The 24,143-nt window shown below is 36.6% G+C and overlaps 1 long non-coding RNA gene and 1 pseudogene across 2 annotated transcripts in view, besides 1 other annotated feature; both read right to left on the reverse strand.

Moving 5' to 3' along the window:
- Positions 1 to 3,105: 3,105 nt before the first annotated feature.
- Positions 3,106 to 24,143, reverse strand: part of LINC01876 (long intergenic non-protein coding RNA 1876) — a 234,397-nt gene continuing 213,359 nt past the window's right edge. Inside the window, exons 2-4 of one of the 2 annotated variants that reach the window (NR_110249.2) lie at positions 7,056 to 7,147; positions 5,243 to 5,388; positions 3,106 to 4,470 (exon numbers count right to left, since the gene is read on the reverse strand). This is a non-coding gene — a long non-coding RNA (long intergenic non-protein coding RNA 1876). Of the gene's footprint in view, positions 4,471 to 5,242; positions 5,389 to 7,036; positions 7,179 to 24,143 lie in introns of both variants that reach the window. The other variant, NR_110250.2, reaches the window with a different exon arrangement.
- Positions 3,994 to 4,194: a silencer, noted in NCBI's record as "peak3904 fragment used in MPRA reporter construct". NCBI's record gives its function as "represses an SCP1 promoter by STARR-seq MPRAs in K562 erythroleukemia cells {active_cell/tissue: K562}" and the evidence as "EXISTENCE:reporter gene assay evidence [ECO:0000049][PMID:32103011]".
- HEBP2P1 (HEBP2 pseudogene 1) lies at positions 15,620 to 15,996 on the reverse strand (annotated as a pseudogene).

The raw sequence follows: 24,143 nt of genomic DNA on the forward strand, positions 1-24,143 counted from the left end.
ACATTTAATTAATAGAAATCCAACCTCCCAAGACAAACCACAGATGCTGTACATATTTAGCAGGGTCTTCTAACCAGCTGCACTAATCTGGGCTGTAACACTACCCTGTAGCTAAACATCTGGACAGAGCTAGAAAACAGAATAATAAATAGTTTTAGATTTCTTTGAGACAGATGCCTACAGGTGACATCACAAAACATAAACATGGAAATAGAAACAGAAATATTTGTTGCCTGATACAGTATTACAACTGGAAAGACAGGTCATGCAAATTTCTCAATACTGCCCTCAACAAATTTGACTTAAAACAACACCATTTTCCATTTTATAACTAGCTGTCAGATTGCATAGTATAAAATCTTAGAGTTCAAACAGAGATGAGGTAGTACAGTTATAAAAATTGCACCACATTCTGAAAAAGCTAAAGCACTGGCTCTCTTATGATTTAGTACTTATGTTAGAAATAAATTTAACTTCCCTAGAGAGCATCATGTCAAAAAAAATGCTCTTATATCCTAACCCTTCCCATTTTATTAGGACACTATTGAATTCACCCTAAGACTGGTGAGAACTGGTTGGTTCTTTTAAAGCTTCTATCAGAGGGGTAGATTTTTCTAACTGTACAGAATTTAATAGGGTAGTTGACATTAATTTTTTTTCATTTTAACACAGTTGGAAGTTGAAAAGACTTCTATACCAGTTGCTTTGAGTATCATGCTTCCAGAGTAGCCAAACAACTTCTCCTTGTTTTCAGGGTAGATTTAAACTTCTTTTGATGATACAGAGAAATAATAAAGAATGTCTTATCCCTAATGGCAAATTTTCATTGTAATAGATAGAAATTCGAACTATAGTTATACAATAGACATATTCCTTCTAGAAAGGGATTAATTGTAAATATCTCTCCCTTTCTCAGATTAGAAATCAAGAGCTATCATACTCAAATAATTTAAGCCTAAAATAAACATAGCCAATGCATACACGATAGGTTATTTGAAAACTTTAGTTTGATTCTGCAGGAACACTATACATTTAGAAAATAGTTCTTATCTCCCTGGGAACTCATAGCTCATTAATTAAGGTCTCCATGTAATCCTAGATAAAATGTGATAAAGTTTTATTTTTTAATTCAGATTTGTCTTTCAGTAATTTGGAATAAACATTCACAGTTCAGAGTTCGTTTTTATCCTTTCAATGTTATTTCAAATATATCTAGAAAGTGAGCCTTAAAGGCTTTCTCAGGAATGCAAACTTAGATATCAACATTCATGGAGGACAATATTGTTCTCTTAGGTTCTTAGACCAAGGGTATTTTTTTTCCTATCATATCTTTTAGAAGATTTATTTGCCTCTATATTCTGATAAAATGGCTGTCTTCATATGAAAAAAAAAAATTTAGAGGTTTTTGAATGTTTATTATCCTTTCTATTGTAGGATAAAATAGTCAAATATATGCTGTTAAGAATTCACAACATCGCTATAGCTGAAAAAAACAGAAGTTTACCATTTGACGATGAGAGAGGAAAGAATACCCTGAAAACTGATAGTTTACTGAGCATCATTTTTACCATAATAAAAAGGTAATTAAGTTTCATAAAGTGTGTTTAGAATGGTATCAAATGAGGAAAAAGGATTTTCTCATTCTAATGTTCAGTATCCTGATTGAAAGACAGCCCAGGGCTTGGGGAATAGAAGAATCCTGGAGAAACTTCATTAGAGGATAAGGTCATATCTAGACAAAAACCAATAAATTAAAATATAATAGGATATAATTGTACAAAAATAGAAGGATAAATAAGCTGAACATAAAGACATGGATTAAGAAACTTGTATTTACTTCATTTATAAACACATTTATGTGTATTTGTATATAACTATATAGCTAGAAAGATGGGTAGATTAATAGTTATATAAATATATCTATCTATATTCACAAATCTATGCATATATTTTTTCCAGGAGCAAAAGTCTAATATTTGATAGAATATTTCCTCCAGATAGCAAGAAACAAATCCTACTTCTACAGTGTAACACCTTGTTATTATTTTACGTTTATTTCAAAATGCCTCATTGTAAGTATATTATGTAGCATACTCCCCAAATTTTTGCTAAGACAGCAATATGTAGGAAAAATTATCTTGTCAGTTTACTCTGTATAACATACTTGACTCAAATTATTATTTGGAAACTATTCAGCCCAGATAACAATGCGTATGGGGTATCCTCAATAATATATTTATATATTTTTAAAACAATTAATTGGAAAAGATTGATATCAAAATTGTGGGGTAAGGGCTATATATAGTACAATCAAAACATTACATATTATATATACACATATATACTATAGGTACATGTATATAATACACATATGTAATATATACACACAACACACATATGTGTACTTACACGTATAATTATGTAATATATATGCCTAAATAATATATTTTAAAATCATATATTGTCTATGTAAAATATAAGTATATATATTGACATGTAACAGGATGGATTAGGCAAACCCAAGAGATCATCAAATGTGGAGAAGTCAAAGGTGAGTATCCCCCACTGAGTTACCTCTCTGATTGCTCTGCTGCTCCGTGAACACATCAGGTATGTTGCCACCTTGAGCCACTGGATTTAGCTGCTCTCTCCCTGTGGAATGTTCTTTCCCCATACAGATGCACATATTTCTCCATTAACTCTTTCAAATCTCATTCAGGTTTCAACTTGTCAGCTTGCCATAAGAACTTCCAGGCCCCCTATTCAGAATTGCTCTTCTACACCCCTAGTGCTTGTACATCTTGTCCCCTTAGTTGCTCTAGGTTTGATTGTTGTGGTGGTGTGGTTGTTTTGTGACGGTGATTGTAAACTACTTATTACTTTTGTTATAAGTAGTTTAAATTAAATATAACAACAATCATTGTAGTAGTATAATAACTATTCATTGTTACTAATAGTTGTAGTTACAACTAATAGTTACTGGGATTCCCCCATGAAAAGAGGACACCTTCCTGGCCTGAGGCTGTGGGGATTTAAGACATAGAGATGGCATATACTACCTTATAAAATGTAAATTCACTGAATTTTTTGGATAAAAAAAACACCTCACATTTTGACAGCACTTTATTCCATTGGATCATCACAAGATGGAGTTAGGACAGATATCATCAGTCTTCATTTTTCAGATGAGGAAACGGGATTTAAACAAATTAAGCTTTTCAAGGTCAAATCTCTAGTAAGCGAAAGAACTAGGACTATAATATGTCTCTGGCTTTTAATCTAATGCTGTTTTTTCTAAATCATTCTGCTACCCTTACATCAAAGCCCAGGTCACAGCAACTCTGATTTACTGAGGGTACTGATACCAAATTGAGGGCAACCTGAAGCAACACTCATTCCAATTCATTTCCAGTTTGTACGATTCTTTTTCCCCCACTAGCTTTAAATTTCATCATTCTCTCCAATAACAGTAATAACCAAGATTTATTGGGGACCTACTCTCGACCATCATTATACTAGTTTTACATTGCACTGTTTCATTTATATCCCATAGTATAGGAACCCAAGAAGAAGAACTGACAGAGAGAAAAAGAAAGAGAATGAGATTGTGTTTACTCAGACTTCTTCCAGGAATTCTAATAAATCAATTGACTGACTAGGTTTCAATCATTCACATTTCTATTCTTTCTAAATGTATCCAAGATGCAAAGATATCTGCTATCTAATAGGAAAGTCGGAAATCATTCCCTCTATTTGCACTCAGAACAGAATTTCTTAAGCCTAACAGAAAAGAAAGTACATCATTTATGTCCCTTATTTCATAGGACCTCTTCAAGTCCCAGGAGAATGTTCTGTTCATTAAGCAGTAAGCCTGGGGTTATTGGCAAAATTTCACTAAATCCTTCCACATCACTTACTGCTGGCACGGATTTCTGTGCAAGAGAGCACATATTCTCCATCCTGGTGAAATGCCTTGTACTGGCTAAAGTGCAAACCAAATTTCCTGCATCTTAACTCCTGAGGGGAGTGCCTCTCCTCATCTTATCACCTATAACCCTACACTCAATTTCCTGGTCCAACCCTCTACTAGATCTGACTCATAAGGGATTAAGGAGAGGATTGAATAGAGGCATGCTGATCTCCAAAGGAACTGAATTTACTTCCTGCATACTAAAATCTTACTGTCATGCTTTATTTTCTGAAGGGATTTTTCCTCCAATAGCCTCAAATGAGATTGGGAACCCTTCTCCAGAAACTGAAAACTAGTTTTTAGCCTGTTAATTCACAAGTCACTGGAAAATCTGGTTACATTACCTGAAACAAGCCAAAGGCTATCACCAGCTTCATCTTAACTAGGTGGAATGATCACCAAAGATACCTGATCCAAGAGGCATTCCAATAATCTCTCCCCAGAGTGTGACACGTGGGAGGGGCAGTGCTTCTCAGAATCTTTGTGCTTATAAAAAGGAACTAGATAAAGAAAAGAAACTAATTAAACAAAGCAAAAACAAACAAGGCAGCAAGGGCAAACACACTGTAATAAAAGATAACAAACAAGTTTTTTTTTTAATGCATGGGTTCAAGGATTTTTAATGCACAGATTTAGAAATTAAGGATAATTGATTCTAAGACACACCTTTTTCAGTTTAACATCTCTAAAATCAGAATCATAGTGGTACAAAAAATAAGGTGCATCTTACAATGAAATAATTTATGTTGCTATGCTCTTATACCTAAGAAAAATAATAGTTATCAAATATCTTACCAAATTGTTTTGAGGTGACTTTCAGCATATAAAGAAAATTTCAAATATCTTACCTATCAGAAACTGCCTCAGAAAAATAAAAACAGAATCTGGTTTAGGAAAAATAGTTTTTATGCTAAAATTGTAATAAGTAAATTGAAGGCATTAGAACAGGAAGCAAAATGCTGGGGAGGTAATTAATGATTTAAAGTTTCTAGTCTGACTGGAAGCATTCATTCCACACACTGAAGCATAAAAATTATGTTTATGATTATGATATTATATCAGAAAATAATAAATGTATGAAAGTTATGTTTTATAAATATTTTAGATAAAATGTAAATATTACAATATAATTTTCCATAGAATTCTTATCTTAGGAAGTTGAATAGAGGTCAGCTTAAACCCCTTTGATGAAAAATCTTAGGGTAAACCAAAATACTTGTTCTATTAAAATGTCACCAATACCAATATTACTAGAGCTTCTACAATACTTACTGTATTATGTGTTCTGACCCAGGCATCCGTCATAAGGAACATGCTTGTGGGGACAATCTCCGCTAGATGCCAGCAAGACAATTTTAAGAGACTCCAACTTACTCTGGGGATGTGGTATATTTGTCAGTAGACTCAGGCTCAGGAATCTGCATAATGAATAAATATGTGGGATTTATTAGCATATTCATTTTTTAATAAAAGTACAGTCAATCCATGTAACAGTAAAGGACTAAAAGTAGAATTAGATGATAGAGGAAATGTGGAGAAGGTATAGCTGGTTGAATAGTGGTCTCCAAAAAAATATGCCCAAGTCCTAACACTGGCACTAAATGTGACCTTACTTGTAAGTCTTTGTAGATGTAATTAAAGATTCGCAAATGAGATCATCCTGGAATTAGGGTAGGCTCTCAACCCAATGCCTGGTTTCCTTAAAAAGAAGGGAGAGATTTAAGAGATAGACATATAAAGAAGTCCATGTGAAGACAGAGGTAGAAAGAGGTTGGAATGGTGCAGCTACAAGTCAAAGAATGCCAAAGATTGCCTGCTGCCACCAGAAGTTAGGAAAGAGGCATGGAACAGACTCTTCTGCGGAGCCTTTAGAAAAAAAAAAAATCTCTAACACTTTGATTTCAAACATCTCACTTCCAAAACTGTGGAAAAAAATTAATTTCTGTTGTGGTAAGACACCAAGTTTGTGGTAATAGGTTACAAAACCTCCAGGAAACAAACACAGGAATTGAGAGTAAAAATGCAGACAGAGGACAAAATAGGGAGTGAAACAAAGTATTGTGCAAATGAGATGAGCTGGTAGACTACGCCATTACTTACCCTAAAAATATTAGAAGTGCTAAAGGTAAGTAGGTAGCTTTAGCACTGGCTGCATTTTTTTATGATAAAATAAGACTTTGTCAGGTGCCATCATATGATCTGCTCTTCAGTTTCCATTTCCAAAACAATAGGAAGTATAGCAGAAAGATTAAGCATATGGATACTGAAGGCTAAACTGCCTAGTTTCACATCCTCCTCCATTGTACAGCTTGTGTTTCATATTTGTGTGTTTGTTTCATCTGTAAAATGGTGATGATCATAAGACATATCTCAGAGGTGTTGAAAGGATTAGATGAATTAATATATATAAAGTGCTTAAAAGAGTAAAAGTTCTATATATGTGTTTACTTTTATTATTCAAGGTATTGTTGCCATCAAAGTTTGTGAATTCTCTAATTTTAACTCAACAATGTTACAGATCTAATGCACAGATTTAATTTTTGAAGTGAGCAAATCATATTACATTACAAAGAGGATGAAAATGAGAGTAGGAACTCCAAAAAGGAGTTTAGGAGATAGTGAGAGAATACAGAATTGAATCGGGGCTCTGTTGAAGATGCTGACTTCTCTGCTCTGCTCTGCTCTACAAAACAAGATACCAGCTAAGGCAGCACTGAGAAGGGCTTCCAGAAGGAAGCTGGGGCAGTCTAGGGCCATATGGTCACTTCACGGGTCCATGGACCCCCTTCTACAAAAAACATTCTCTCCTCCTATACTTTGTCTCTCCGCATCTGTAGTTTGAGATTATATTTATTACTTTTTTCCTATTTAGTTTTCTTATTGCTCCCTTTGTTGAACTCTCATTTTGATCCAGTTTCTTTATCTTCTCATGACTTTTAATTTATTTTGTATTTTCCTTTGCTCATCATCAATATTATTTATATTGTATTCACTTAGAAACTGAATGGTGATTTTTATCCCTTATCCTCTTAAATTGTTTAGAAGTAAATCTTATGTATCACATACACACATCTTATACTCATGCCTTTGCTTGGACCTTATGATGAAAATCTTCCCCGATTTTTTGAAGTATCTTCTTCACTCTTCCCTGATTTTTCCAAGTATCTTCTTCCATCCCTGCATTATGTAAGAAGACCATTCTTATTCACTGAAACAAGAAATATTTTACCACATTTTAAAATATTGCATGGCTTGGTAAATATCCCAAAGGGAGTACCATTTTTCTAGCAGTTTAATTCTTTTGAAAGTATCAACTACAGTATACTGAAGTGTTAATGTTAAAAGAGGCCTTAAAAAAATCTTTTGAAAGCATTTTGAAAAAGTGTAATGGAGTCCAAGTTAATTTTTTTATTAAACATTCATAAAAAAGAAAATGTGGAAGAGCTCAACCTTTTTCATATGAAAATAAGATTTAAGTAATTCAAAGTGATGATTAAATATGGGTATTAAGTAGATTGTAATGTAGTAGCAAATTTTTAAGTAAATTCTAATTTTTTCTGTACCAGATATCCCCCACAATTTCCACCCATCATCTCTTAACTTATGATAATATATAGATAATACTATAATCATTTTCTTAAAAATATTGGGCCATGTTTACAGCTTTAAAGTTAGTCACATGAACTAACACGATCTCTAAGACTCTGATATTTTGTGATGATTTAAATTTTGCATTAAGGCTTTCTCCTTGGTTCAAAATCTAACTATAGGACCAATGCAGGTGTTTAGTAAATCATCATCCAGCTTTTTAATATACTCTAACTTTTCATAAATATCACAGAATATTTGGATTAGGGGAAAGAAGGTAAGAAAAGAATAGGAAGGGGAAAAAACAAAAACCAAGTTGCATTCATTTTTACTTTGTGATCTAGCACAGTAATTATTTTGCCTACCTGTTGGAGGTGGACAGAGCTGAAACAGTTTTTTTTTTTTTTAATTTTGTTGATATTTAAGAAAGTGTATAAATTTAACCTTAGAAGAGGAACTTCTGTATGAGGTCTGGAGGTATGTGCCACATCTGGGTCCCACGGCAAGGGAGCAAGACTACACCACAGTTCTGTTGTCCCTGGGTTTGGAAGAACAACAGCTGCTTCTGTGAACATTCAAACCTGCTGCCATTTTGAGTAGTCTTCTTCCACACCTCCCGGAATTTCAAGCTCCTTAGAAAATGGTGCTTGCCATCTATACCTATGCAACAAACCTGCACATTCTGCACATGTATCCCGGAACTTAAAGTTAAAAATAAAAAAGAAAAGAAAACTGAAAAAAAGAGAAAATGGTGTTTGCTTTATGAGGCATATCAGTTGTGTCTCTATGATCAAAATTCTGTTAAATCTCAAGGGGCAAAAAGCAGTGAGGCTCTGGGAAAGTTAATGTACCTCTTTCTCCTTGTAGAGACTCCTATTTCTTACCTTGCTGATAGGCAACCAGTTTTGTGTGTTCTTGCCTCAGGAATTTTGACTTTTGTAATGGAGTAAAAGACATGAAAGATAATGGCAAGTGTCCAAGAGTGTGAGCTTAGAGGGAGAAAGCTTCTGAAGTCAAGAAGAATCCCTAAGACAGGTAAGAGGACGTGTTTTTAACTTCTGTAATAACAGTAATCATTCAGATATGTGTAAAACATATCTGAAGATAAGTTCCTAGCCATTGAAGTTTCAAGGTTCATAGAATCCCTGTGCCTCAAGAGTAGCAAAGTAGTTGAAGAGCTTGCATATTTAAAAGGGAATCTCTAAAGTTACCAGTGCAAGGCAATGATTGGCTCTTCCCTATATCTCAGTTCTATGAGTGACTGTCATAACCCTTTTAGGGAGGGTCTTATTATTCAGATTAAGTTTCCAAACTGTCTTATAGGAGGAGAATCTCAGTGTTAGAACTGAGTTGATTTTTAAGAAAATAGAGGGAAGCACTGGCTCCTACACACTGAGTTTGTAAGCTAAAACCTGCTAAGCATTAAAGCGACCCTTATTGTGGGAGTTCTGAAGGAAAACGTATCCTGTGGCTGTTGGAATTTTAAGCAGAGATGGCAGGGGAAAAAAAATAGGCCACAGGAATAGAATGACAGACAATGTCCTTGGGTAAGAGAAAACCAAATGGCCAGAAATTGATGAAAGAATAAATTTTCTTGAGATAGAGTTCAGAAAAAGAGCATTGATTTGAGAATGGATGTTGTACACCTCGATTTTATACACAGATCTACCTACAGTTTTACATGTGTGAAATACGAAAAGTCTATTACATTACATGATTCTTTTCAACAAAGCTGCTCATGATAATTGTGATCACATACAGTGAGAAATATTCTGTATGTAATACAATATTAAGTTAGAAAAAGAGAGAGGTTACCTCTAAAATGAAATGTAGATATTTTTATACATAACTATGAAAACAAAGTATTCCTTAATCCTATGTAATCAGTTATCTATTGGGTCAGAATAGCAGGAATAAAAAAAGAGGGAGACTGTTCATAATAGCAAAGACTTGGAACCAACCCAAATGCCCATCAACGATAGGCTGGATAAAGAAAATGTGGCACATATACACCATGGAATACTATGTAGCCATAATAAAGGATGAGTTCATGTCCTTTACAGGGACACTGATGAAGCAGGAAACCATCATTCTCAGCAAACTAACACAAGAACAGAAAACCAAACACCACATGTTCTCACTCATAAGTGGGAGCTAAACAGTGAGAACACATGGACACAGGAAGGGGAACATCACAAACTAGGGCCTGTCGGGGAGTAGGGGGCTATGGGAGAGATAGCATTAGGAGAAATACCTAATGTAGATGATGGGTTGATGGGTGCAGTAAACCACCATGGCACGTGTATACCTATGTAACAAACCTGCACATTCTACACATGTATCCCAGAACTTAAAGTATAATAAACTTTTTTAAAAAAGAGGGAGATATGGTCTTGTCCTTGGAGATCTCACAAAGTGTCTAGAAAAAACAAATCTATGAATGAATAATTTGAAAAAAATATATTTATCCAAATGTTAGCATATTTGGCAGAGAGTATTAAACATCCAGAGAAAGAGAAGACTGACATGACAGGGAATTCTTCCCAAAGGATAGGGAAAGACTCGAGAAGAAATTCAGGCCATAGAAAGATCCTTCTAAACACATATTTTCTGTCAGATTTACTTTAACAATGGACAAGTACTGCCACCATATTCAAAATTAAAGTAAAAATAAAATAACTGAAATAAGAACAATTGATGGGGTCTGTGCATCGATATTTGAAAATTTATATAACATATATGTTTTATCACCAAATTTACATTATCACAGTAAACATGAAAGTCTAACTTTACTAGCGCCCATGGGGAGATAAAATAATCAACTCTCAGCATCCAAAATTTCTCCTCCATTTTACTCCAAATACATCTTATCATTCACTTAAATGTTGGAATTACTCCACATAATAAAACACATCCAAATTTACCCCAACACCAGAGATTCTTCCAAACTCTAAGTTTCAGCTGCGGAAAGGAGCAATTGAACAGACTTGATATTCAGACCATCACAAGTCTCCTAGGTCAGTTCTGAGGGTTTGGTAAAATGATAAAAATCTACTCCCCAGTGGGAAGTCTAGCTGACTACCATAGTTAGACATGGAATTCTAATCATTATTCAGCATGTCTTATAAAAAGGTCTAAAATCATGACAAAACTCTTTGTTTTTTTCTTACTTAAGTGGCACACAAGGAGGTGAAAACCTACAAAAGCCATTCAACATAGTTCTTATTAACCAACATTAACTGCCTGCCCTGGGAATTGAGTCCTGGTTCTCAAAAGCAAATAATAAAAAGTAAATTTCATCACACAGGGATTTTTTTTTTGGTTGAGTTTACAAGTGTAGTAAAGAGATTAAACAAAATGGCCTTAAAGGCCACAAATGTCCAACAGAGAAAGCTTGCTTCCTAGGATTCAAATCTATTGCAAAAATGACCTATTTTTATAAGACAGTTTTCTTTTGATCTCTATAAACTTGCTGAGCTCCCTTATACTCTCATTGCACACAAACCTTTTATGAAGCTCCAATTAATTTCATTGTTTATCTAAGTGAATAAAACTCTACAATTTCATTGCAGTTAAATCAGATAAAGCATTCATGTAATTCTGATAATTGGTGCATGTGATTTTTCAGTATTTATATGTATATGTTAAAGATATTTGGACAAGATTGTTAGTAGATACATTCTGATGGATTCCCTGTGGTGTTAATTCACCAATAAAATATCCATTTGGCATGTAATATAACAAATACAAGATTTAGTTGGCATTGTTAGACCTCAAAAATGGACCACCAGAATAATTATTTTTATTCTTGCTCCACAATTAGCTACTTAATTATTGTGAACGAGTTAATTATGTAAGTCAACTAAGTATTATGAAAGGATAATATATGAAGGCTAGCCCATAAATTCTTTTTTTTTCTTAGATGGAGTCTTGCTCCATTGCCCAGGCTGGAGTGCAGTGGCGTGATCTCAGCTGACTGCAACCTCCGCCTCCTAGACTCAAGCAATTCTCCTGCCTCAGCCTCCCGAGTAGCTGGGATTACACGTGCCTGCCACCACACCTGTAATTTTTTTTTTTTTTTTTGTATTTTTAGTAGAGACGGGGTTTTACCATGTTGACCAGGTTGGTCTTGAACTCCTGACCTCAGGTGATCCACGCACCTTGGCCTCCCAAACTGCTGGGATTACAGGCGTAAGCCACCACGCCCAGCCTAGCCCATATATTCTTAACTTGGTTGTGTGTTATAATTATGCTCAGGGAGTAAACATTTCTAGCCAAACTTTAGCATAATCTAGTTTAAGTATACAAATCAGGTTAATAAATGTATGCGTTGATCTACATTTGGTTTCCATCTTCCCCAGTACCTCCTGGTTTTATTTACCATCTAATTACCAAATCTGATCTTTAACAGAAATTAACTAATACTGTTTTAGAAATAAGTAATTATTAATTTATAAATTAGGGCCGGGTGCAGTGGCTCACGCCTGCAATCCCAGCACTTTTGGAAATCAAGGCGGGTGGATTACCTAGGCCAGGAGTTTGAGACCAGCCTGGCCAACATGATGAAACCCCGTCTCTACTAAAAACACACAAAAAATTAGCTGGGTGTGGTGGCAGGCACCTGTAATCCCAGCTACTCGGGAGGCTGAGGCAGGAGAATCACTTGAAGCCGGGAGGTGGAGGTTGCAGTGAGCTGAGATCATGCCACTGCACTCCAGCCTGGGTGACAGTGCAAGACAAAAAAGAAGAAAGGAAAAGAAAGAAAGAAAAGAAGGAAGGAAGGAAGGAAGGAAGGAAGGGAGGGAGGGAGGGAGGGAGGGAGGGAGGGAGGGAAAGAAAGGGAAAGGAAAGGAAAGGAAAGGAGGTGAAGGAGGGGAAGGAGAAAAAGTAAGGAAGGAAGGAAGGATGGAAGGAAGGGAAAGAAAGAAAGGGAGAAGGAGAGAAAGAAAGAAAGAAAGAAAGAAAGAAAGAAAGAAAGAAAGAAAGAAGGAAGGAAGGAAGGAGGAAGGAAGAAAAAAAAAGAAAGAAAGAAAGAAAGAAAGAAAGAGGGAGGAAGGAAATACAAATTAGAAGACAGACTAACTATCTTTGAGCCCCATTGCTTTCATCTTGTCCTTTCTAGAAAGGCCTCTAATAAGTTGTAGATGTCACTACAGGGAAATGCTTTGTCTTTTCAGAGAATCATCCAGTATTTGTGTTGATTTGAAATTAGTTTTTTTTAGTATGCTCATAAAAATTCAAATAAAGAAAGCTATCACTAATTTTGTCAGGGATTTTAAACCGAAATGTCTACTCAGGCCAGAAAGTTGATTCAAATGAGTAAGATTGCCCAAGCGTGGACTGTTACAAAATGGACAAACCAGACTTACCCATCTGAGGGATGCGGCACCACTCAGCAACAGCTTATCATTTTCAGAATAGCATAGAGCCTAGATCAGACAAATTTTCCAAGAGAACTAGAATTCTGGAATTTTATTTAAAAAAATCTCTTGATATTTAAATGCTAACATCAACTAAACATTTTTTTTAAACACAATGCAAGTCAAAATAAATATATCTGCTGTCTATATTAGGACAATTTGGACCTCAATTAAATAATAATGCACTGCAATCTGGATAAAACATTATATTTTATTCTTAAATGCCATTGTAGATTATGACTGTTCTTATCTCTTTTCCTTATGGAAGGTTATTTTAATTTTATATATCTCACATACCTTTGTATTTTATGTATATTTTTATCATTCAACTCAAAATTAACCATGAGTGAACTAAGGTTAAGGAGAAGGATAATGGTAGGGAATGTTTCTGTGTTCAAAAGCAAGGGTGGTTAAATGCCTTCTGCACATATTATTTTCTATTGCCTAAGTTTAGATTTTCCATCCTGACCCTAAAGTAAACCCACAAGGAAAGTGCAAACTCATACTGGCTCTTGTTAACTGAGCAGAATTAAAAATCAGTGTTCTGTTCCTATGGACTAGAAGGCAATTTAAAACACCCAGGACATCAGCTGGGAAACTTCTTAATTCTTAGCTTTATTCTCATTCAAGACCTATATATGGAAATTCTAATCAATGTGTTCATTAAACAAGACACCCAGATATTAATCAAGCTTCTTGCAAAGCCCTTTCTACTGTCTGACAGTTGGTAGCAAAAAGGAGGGTGCTTCAATAAATGCTCAGAATTATGATTACAAAGAATAAAGATATTTTCCTGATTCTCTCAATAAAGGGTAAGTGAAGCATCACAATGAAAGAATTTATAATTAAGTTGCTTGGGTTGTATTGCGATTTCTCCTTAACACATATGCCCAGACTGATTCACCGAAGGAAATGCTTTGAATGATTCATTTTGGTGGAAGGAATCATTGCTATTATCAAGAGCTAAGAGACACAAGAACTGAAATTATCCACCAGCCAAGAGACAGAATCGATTGTACTTCTGCCAGGTCATCACTCCTTATAATTAAGAGAGAACATACAACATTCTCTAATCAGACCTGGTAAGTGTAAGAACCTAATGAAGAATTGTTGATTTATAAAAAGCAAAAATTACAAACTAATATCCCTCATGAAGACGCAAAAATTCTTGAAAAATTTGTAACAAATTCAATTCAATAATCTATAAAAAGACTAATACATTATGACTAAATACATTTTGTATCAGGAATGTAAAGTTGAATGAATCAATGTCATTTATTATATTAAAAAAGGGATTAAGTAATAATATCTCCGTAGATACAGAAAAGCATTGGATAAAGTTCAGCACAACCTCATTAAGAATTCTCAGCATGCCAAGAAGAGAAGAGACCTTATTTAATTTGATAAAAGTCATCTATTACAATTTAATATTTATAACTAATGTTATAATTTAATACTATTGGGAAAAGCCTAAATGTTCATCCGTGGGGCACTGGTTGAATAAATTATGGTATATCCAACCAAGCAACTACTCTAATAGACATAAAAAGTAAAGAGGACAAAGAATATGATGTAGAGTGCTTTGCAAGATATACTGAAAAGTGGAAAAGCAAGGTGTTACACTCCCTGCAAGAAGTGGAGCTTAACCCTCCACCCCCTTTTTAGCATGAACTGTACATAGTGACTCAATCACTTCCAACGAATAGAATATGGAAAAAGAAAAACAATATTTTTTTAGTGGGAAACTCTAGCAAGTACTACCTTAACCAACTGAGCACAGTTAACATCACTAGTCGTTAAGTCATGTTGATAGCATGTCCCCATATGGCCTGATGAGAAAGGTACTTTATCTCTGTTGTATTCTTCCCCAAAGCCCATAATCCCAACCTCTTCACGAGAAAAACATCACCCCATTTGGTGGGTATTCTACAAAATATCCAACCAATACATCTCATGGCAAGGTCATGAGTAAATTAAAAGCTGACAAACTTTAACAAAGCAGAGAAGACTAAAGATACATGTGACAAAATCCACTGTGAGATCCTTCATGGGATACTGGAACAGAAAAAGAATATTAGTGGAAAAACTCGTAAAATCCAGTTAATAGTCATTTGTAAATGTTGATTTTGTTTGTTTGTTTCACAAATATTCCATAGGAAAACATAATTTTAACTGCAGGAGAAACCATGTGAGGGGCATATGAGAATTCTAATATCTTTGCAACTCTTCTGAAAGCCTAATGTTGTATTAAAAGAAAATTTATTTTAAGAAAAACAATATGGAAAAGAGTGTATGTAATGTCAAATATGTTGTGAGAAATAAAAAATAAGAAAATAAATATGTTTTTCCTATTTTTACAAAAGAAAACACAGGAAAGATAGACTAGAAACTGATGACAGAAGTTTCTTATAAGAAATAAGTAGGATTGGAGTAGATGGGGTACGTGTGAAAAGAAGACTTCCCTGATTATATCACATTCTATAGTTTTGATTTGTTAAATAAAATCTTTAATATTTTGATTGATAATATCTGGAGAGGATGACATCCAACTGGCACAAGGCAACATGATTGTGATGCAGTGAAGAAGGGGGAATCAACATTACATTTCCTTGAATCCCCACAGAAAACAAAGACCACCATAGTTATGACCAATTTACATGTGTGTAGATTATTGTCCCCTGTGACAAAGCTTCACACACTAAAAAGGCACATTGGGAATGAGCTTGAGTCATTGTAGTGCTCTCACAAAGATGCTAGACACACACTTTATGATAGGTAGTGTTAATGTCTAGGTTAAACAGAAGCTTTCCCCCGGCAGTGGAACTTCCTTTCCTTTTCTCATTCATTTTCTTTGGAGGACTCCTTTTTCTCAATCAATTAAACTTTATTATTTCTATTAAGCAATTTGAAAGGACTGGTGTAGCCTGCAGTGTAATAAACCTTTTTATTGAAAACTTTTCCTTCTTCCCTCAAAATGCTTAAATGCTTGCTAATGTCAAAAGTTGTTCTTTTTTTTTTGAGACGGAGTGTCCCTTTGTCGCCCAGGCTGGAGTGCAGTGGCTCCATCTCTGCTCATAGCAACCTCCGCCTCCTGGGTTCAAGCAGTTCTCCTGCCTCAGCCTCCTGATTAGCTGGGATTACAGGCATGCGCCACCACACCCGGCTAATATTTTTGTATTTTTAATAGAAACGGGGTTTCAGCATGTTGGTCAAGCTGGTCTCAAACTCCTGACCTCATGATCCGCCTGCCTTGGCCTCCCAAAGGGAAGTTGCTCTTGATTCTTTGGGGCACTAGAGTATCCACTGAATGAAACACAGCATATCGGCTGTGTCTTCAATAAAGTCATCTGACTCTGAAGGCCTGGGCAGATGGAATTGCTGTTCAGAGGAGATATACAGGGAAATGGTCTTGGTAGACTCACTAAAAGGACATGAACCAACCTTTGGTTGGTCCAGCTTGTGACTGGAGCTGTCACCATTATTTTCATCTCTTTCTCCTTTTGCCTTGAATGTAGATGTTCAGTTTTGTAAAGCCTGTCTGGATGGCTGAACCCCTGTTCATAGACTCAACAGAAGTGCTGACCCACTTAACTGTCCACACTGTCAGATCCCATGACTTCAGAGCTGGGGGCTTCCAACCTCTGGGGCCTTCCAGCCCAGTGTCCACAGCTTGAACCACCATGAAGGGCTGACACCTGGGCCCACCTGCCACCAGGCCAATCAAGCTGTGCCACCAGTTTTGATTTTTGAAGCATGTAAATATTCTACATGTTCAAAATATAAAATTATGCCAAAAATAAAAACATAGAATACAAACAGAAACAAATGAGCCTGAAAGTGTTCTTGCTGGATATTTTTGTACTAAACCCTAAATAAACAGAAGAATCTAGTATATGGGACATCCTTCAGGACAACTGACCTGGCCTATTTAAAGCATTCAAAGTCACAAAGGACAGAGTGAGCCTGCTGAGGGAAAGAGGAGCATTCTAAGGACACTACAGAGACATAACAATTACAATGTGTGAACCTCGGTTGGATCCTATGTGAAAAGGGGGAAAACTCATCTATATAAAACATTTTGGAAAAGCGGGGAAATTTGGTATATAGTATGGACTACATACTGTGTAGTATTACATAAGTAGTATTGATTTCTTAGATAGATGATAGCTCGGTGTTTGTTGGAAGATGTTCCTGTTTTTGCTAGATGCATACTGAAGTTTTCAGAGGTGAGGTTTCACCATGGTTGAAATATACTTTCAGATGATTTGACAAAAAAGAAATATGTGTCTATCTACAAAGAGAGATAAAGGAAACTTGGCAGTTTTTAACAGTAAATCTAGTTGTGGGATACACTGGTGTTCATTGTACTACTCTTTTAACTTTTCTATAGTTTTGAAAATTTTTCAAATAAGAAGAGATTTTAAAGTCAATTTATTCACTTTTCTAATCTTCCTTCTAATGAACATTCTCCATCAGGTTAGGCACTTTGTAGGATTCATTTTTGTCATGTATTTCACTCATTTTGTCTACAGTTACCAGCCTACTTATGTATTATATTTCTCTGATCAATTTTGCTGATTTTTCTTCTTAGATCATCCATGTCATCCATAGTTTCAAATTCTTTAGCACTCTACATATTAAAGAGTACATATATAAAGCATTGTTTAAGTTATGAACTTCCCACCCAAATAAGTTTCCACTTTCTTCCATATTTAAGTCATTTGATTTTTAATTTCTCATATGGAAGCATATAGGATAACTATAGAAACAGCCACAAGCAATATAGGCCAATATATTCAGCCCTTAGAGCCAGTTAACTTGCTAAATGCCCACTGGATTTGAAGGCACCAGTAGCAGATAGCTAGGGAAAAGTGCTGGTCATAGATAAATATGGGATTGATACTAGGAAAAGTGTGGTCCTTTATCATTAACCATTAAATATGCTAATGTATACTATCATTTTAACCTCTTTTGCTCCTACATGCCTTCCTCTGTCTTATTTTTGAAAAGACAAGATACAGTCACAGCCACACAAGTTGGTCCCAGTCCAGTGATGCTGCTGGGATGCCTGGCAGATGCAAAGGGCAGACTCACAGTGGGGCAAGATTTCCTCAAATGCAAGATATTTTCCTATGTACGGGATGGCATTTTGGAAGACTGTTTTCTGATTGTGTTTCTTCTCTCTAAGTGCTTTCTCCATAATGTAAATATCGAAGTCTTGCTATCTGAGTTACAAAGCAATTAAAGAAAATATTTCATACTTCCTAGTCTTAAAATATTAAAATCTAAAACCTGGAAATAACACAAGGAGAGAAATCCAAATACCGCATGTTCTTACTTGTAAGTGGGAGCTAAATTATGAGAACTTACGAACACAAAGGGGGAACAACAGACATTGGGGTCTACTTGAGGGTGGAGTGTGGGAGAGGGGAGAGAAGAAGAAAAGATACATGTTGGGTACCGGGCTTAATTCCTGGGTGATGAAATATGTACAACCAATCCCCATGACATGAGCTCACCTCTGTAACAAACTTTCACATGTACCCCTAAACCTAAAATAAAAGTTAAAAAATAAATAAATAAATAAATAAAACCTGGAAAAATACTAATATATATTTTGAGGACAGCTTATACCTCTGAAGAAAGAAATAAAATATTTCACCCCCAAAATATTCACCTAGAAGTTTAATAACCTAAATATGATTCTCTAAAAATCATATCAATATTATTCAAGAGTTTAGAAGTCTGTATTGTTATAAGAAGTAGATGTTTCTTCTATATTTTCCCTCTTTTTAAATTTTAATAGAAGAGGATGATAATTGAATGAGGTCTAAAAGTAAAATTTAGAAACTAAAATCTCATCCTGGGGTATGTGGGAAAGTGCATGGGCTTTCTGAGTTCAAATTCTAGCTCTGCAACTTCATAGCACATGGTACTGGGATAGTCACATTTCCTCACCTGTAGGTTAGGGTGAGCAAATACCTATCAAAATAAAAAGAAATAATAAAAATAAGTTGAAAGCTGGAAACATTGTTGAATAAATACAAAACAAATTAGTGCTAGATAAAATATAACAAACTTATTTAAAATTTACCTCTTAAGAAAAAAAAAGAAAATACCAGAAGATAGGAATAAAGGGGGAAATTAAGCCATAGCAATAATGCTAAGTCTGATTCTGCAATAGCTCTTGAGTGGGAAAATGGGACTATCAAAGTCAGTTAAGACTAAGAGTTCAGATTATGTTGCCCAAGCATGCAAATATTTTGAAGCCTTAGTACTAAAAATTGCATAAAATTAGAAGTGGCACGCCTTAATTACGAGATGCCTCAAAGGACTGGACTACCAGTAAAAGAAGATCTTGGGGGACGGGGTGGGGGGAGAATATGTTTTCCTACAGAGGAAAAATGAAGAAGTTTGTTTCTGTCTCAGCTGTAAATAAAAAAAGAAAAGAAAGAAAAAAGTCTTCCCTGAGAAATTGAAAACACAGACTGTGCCTCTCCTAGGTTTAGAATCTAACTATATACTATTAGCATAGTATGGTAAAATTCAAGTTGACTAGTTAAAATTAAAAGTTAGTGAGGCAAAATCTAGGAACATAAATTGATACAAAGTACTGACCGATGCTAGTTAGCCTTCAGCAGAGCAGATACAGGATCATAAAGGTGAATGATTGTATTAATCCAATAAGGAGCATGCAAAAAGACATGGAAGAGTAGGTATGAGGGTGTTTAAAAGAAGAAAAATCAGGGCTTAAGTTAAAGAAAATGGTAAGTGAAACTATTTGATGCTGAGAAATAGGTAATGGTAAGACACAAAAGTGCTGGAAATCACAATGATGTCAAAACAGGTGTAGTGAGAGAGAGAGAGATCTGAAAGGTCAGGTCTTCGTATTAAGAAATTAATATGCCACATTTAGTATGTTAAAATTTAAGATTGCTTTGATGGAGTAAGCTCAGTCAGAATTTCTAAACAGGAGAGAATTCCTGAACAGAAAAATTAATAAAGGTTTTTACTGTTAAAGAAGTTAATGTTAGAGTCAGGGTGCCGACCACCCTCTCCCAGAATTCTGGCTGATAGAATGTACACAGGCTGATAGGGCCTAAAATATCAGCTTATTAATAATAGCGCAATGCCCTTCAAATGCACAACTCTGTGACAAAGCTAAATATAATAATGTTGCTGGTATATGAGACCAAGCTGATGGCCTTCAAATACCTGCTCCAGTCTAATCTTAGTGACCCACCTGTTGGGAGTGTTAAGTCCACAAAACAGATTGAACCTTGGTTTAACTACCAAAGTGAGTCATGAGCAAAACAGGAGGTAGAAGAGAGAATGACAATCTTGTGACCTGGTTTGTACTTACACATAGGAAGAAGAAGTAAAGAAGAGCCCAATTCATTTCATGCCAGTTTTTGAGGCAGGTAAAAATGAGAAGGAAGGGAAGACATGAGGGAGGGGAAGGAAGTTTAGAAGGAACGAAAGAGAGAGAGAGGAAAACTGATAGACAGAGAAAGAAACCCATGTCCCATTTTTGAGGCTAAATAAAAGCATCAAAACAAAAAAGAAAAGAGATTTCCGGCCAAGATGGCCAGCTAGAAGCAGCTAGTGTGCATGGCTCTCATCATAGAGAGGAACAAAAGGGGCAAGTAAATACAGCACCTTCAACTGAAACATTCAGCTCCTTGCATTGAGACTGATCAAGGAAACAGCTCAACCCATGGACAATGTACAAAAGCAGGGCAGGACAATGGCCCACCCAGGAGTGGGAGTGAAACACAAAGCCAGGGGAACCTCTCCCCAGCCAGGGAAGTGGTGAGTCAATGTGTGATTCTGGGAAACCACATTTCTTCCACAGATCTTTGCAACCTCCAAGTCAGATGATTCCCTTGTGAACCCACTCCACCAGGGCCTTTGGTCTGACACACAGGGCTGCATGGAGTCTCAGCAGAGCAGCTGCTCAGGCACACACAGAGACATGGGAGCCTTACATGCTGTGGCTCTGCGCTCCCCAGCAAAGTGACTGCAACTCAGGCAAGGCAGGAGTTGGACCTCCATCCATACCCCTGGAAAGAGGGCTGAATCCAGGAGGCCTAGCAGTGACAGTCTGTAGGTCCCACTTCCATGGTGCCTCACAGGATTAGACCCACTGGTTTAGAATTCCAGCCAGCCACCAGCAACAACTGAGACAGATGGGTTTCCCAGGATGAGAGACAGGCCACCATCTTTGCTATTTGGGTGATTCAGCTGTTCCGGCCTGTGGGCTTTGGAGAGTCCAAACTGACTCGGGGTGGAAAGGATCCTGCAGCATAGCACAGCTGCTCTACCAAAATGTGACCAGACTGCTTCTTTAAGTGCGTCCCAGATCCATTCATCTTCACTGGGCAGAACCTCCCAACTGGGGCCTCCAGCCATTCCTGCTGATGTTCTCTTTTGAAAACTTCCTGGGACAGAGCTTCTAGAGGGAATGACAAGTTGCCATCTTTGCTGTTTCCATGACTTAGCTGTTTCAGCCTCCAAGCTTTGGAGCACCCAAGCCAACTGGGGGCAGAAGAAGTACCCCATCACAGCACAGTTGCTCTACAAAAGCATAGCTATATGGCATCTTTAAGCGAATCCCCGATCCTGTTGCTCCAGACTGAGTGAGACCTCCCAACAGGGGTCCCCAGCCAACTCCTGTAAGTGTATTCAGGCTGGCAACATGTTCATATCCCCCTGGGATGAGGAAAGGACAGGCTGCCCTCTTCACGGTTTCACAGCCTTCACTAGTGATACCTCCAAGTACTGGGAAATCTGAGGTGACTAGGGTCTGTAGTGGAGCCCCAGCAAACCACAGCAGCCCTATAGAAAATTGTCCAGACTGTTAAAAGAAAAAATACTAAAGGTAAAGAACCTCAAAGATTTAATGTATATAAGCCCAGAAAGGTGAGAAAGAATCAGCAGGAGAAGGCTGAAAACTCAAAAAGCCAGAGTGCCCTTTTTTCTCCAATGACTACATCACCTCTCCAGTAAGGGATCAGAACTGGGCTGAGGCTGAGATGGCTAAAATGACAGAAATAGAATTCAGAATGTGGATAGAAATGAACTTCACTGAGCTAAAGTAGCACATTGTAACCCAATACATGGAAGCTAAAAACCATGATAAAACATTGTGGGAGCTGACAGACAAAATATCTAGTACAAGGAAGAATGTAACCAATCTGATAAAGCTGAGAAACACACTATAAAAATTTCATAATGCAATCACAAGTATTAATAGCAGAATAGGCCAAGTGGAGAAAAGAATCTCAGAGCTTAAAGACTGTCCTTCTGAAATAAGACAGGCAGGCAAGAATAGAGAAAAAAGAAGGAAATGGAATGAACAAAACCTCATGTGAAGGTCTCTAAGAACTTGCCTTATCAATCTGGGTACTCCTGTGTTGGGTGCATATATATATTTAGGATAGTTAGCTCTTCTTGTTGAACTGAACCCTTTACCATTATGTAATGCCCTTCTTTGTCTTTTTTGATCTTTGTCAGTCTAAAGTCTGCTTTGTCAGAAACTAGGATTGCAAACCCTGCTTTTTTCTGCTATCCATTTAATTGATAAGTTTTCCTCAATCCCTTTATTTTGAGCCTATGTCTGTCATTGCATGTGAAAGGGATCTCTTGAAGACTGCATACCAATGGATCTTGGTTCTTTATCCAGCTTGCTATTCCATGTCTTTTAATCCAGGCAGTTAGCCATTTGCTTTTAAGGTTAGTATTGTTATGTGTCATCATGATGCTAGCTGATTATTTTGCATCCTGTCATCATGATGCTGGCTGATTATTTTGCAGACTTGTTTATGCAGTTGCTTCATAGTGCCATTGGTCTGTGTATTTCAGTGTGTTTTTGTAGTGGCTGGTAACAATTTTTCCTTTGCACATTTAGTGCTTCCTTCAGGAGCTCCTGCAAGGCAGGCATGGTGGTAACAAATTCCCTCAGCATTTGCTTGTCTGAAAAGGATCTTATTTCCCCTTCACTGATAAAGCTTAGTTTGGCTGGATACAAAATTTGGGGTTGTAAATTCTTTTCTTTAAGAATGTTGAATATTGGCCCTCAATCTCTTCTGGCTTATAGGGTTTCTGCTGAGAGGTCTGCTGTTAGTCTGTTGGGCTTCTCCTTGTAGGTGACCTGGTCTTTCTCTCTGGCTGCCCTTAACATTTTTTCATTCACTTTGACCTTGAAGAATGTGAAGATTATGTGTCTTAAAGATGACCTTCTCATAGAGCATCTTTCTGGGGTTCTCTGGATTTCCTGAATTTGAATGTTGGCCTGTCTAGCTAGATTGGGGAAGTTCTCATGGATGATATCCATGAGATCTCTTTCAGGTGCACCAGTCAGTCATAGATTCAGTCTCTTTACATAATCCACCTGAAATACCAAAAATCCAAATATGCCAAATAAAAGACAGAGATTGTCAGTGTGTATCAAAAAAAACAACATCCAACTATATGTTGTCTACAAGAAACCCACATTAAATACAAAGACACATATAGATTAAAAGTAAAGGGATGGAGAAAAATATGCCATGCTAACAAAAATCAAAAGAAAGGCATATTGGCTATATTAATTTCGAGTAGAGCAGACATCAGAGCAATGAAAGTTATCAGGGTTAAACAGAAGCATAACATAATGAAATATCAGTTAATTATCCAAAGAAACATAGCAATTCTTTTTTTTTTTTTTTTTTGAGACGGAGTCTCGCTCTGTCGCCCAGGCTGGAGTGCAGTGGCGGGATCTCGGCTCACTGCAAGCTCCGCCTCCCGGGTTCATGCCATTCTCCTGCCTCAGCCTCCCAAGTAGCTGGGACTACAGGCGCCCGCCACTACACCCGGCTAATTTTTTGTATTTTTAGTAGAGACGGGGTTTCACCGTTTTTTTTTAGCCGGGATGGTCTCGATCTCCTGACCTCGTGATCCGCCCGCCTCGGCCTCCCAAAGTGCTGGGATTACAGGCGTGAGCCACCGCGCCTGGCCGAAACATAGCAATTCTTAATGTGTGTGTGCCTAAAAACAGAATGTCAAAATACATGAGGCAAAAATTAATAGAACTGCAAGGAGAAATAGATTAATCCACTATTGCTCAGAGTCTTCACTACCTATTAGAAATGGGCAGGTTCAGTAAGCAGAAAGTAAGACATAGT

Source organism: Homo sapiens, chromosome 2, assembly GCF_000001405.40.
Source record: "Homo sapiens chromosome 2, GRCh38.p14 Primary Assembly".
NCBI lineage: Eukaryota > Metazoa > Chordata > Mammalia > Primates > Hominidae > Homo > Homo sapiens.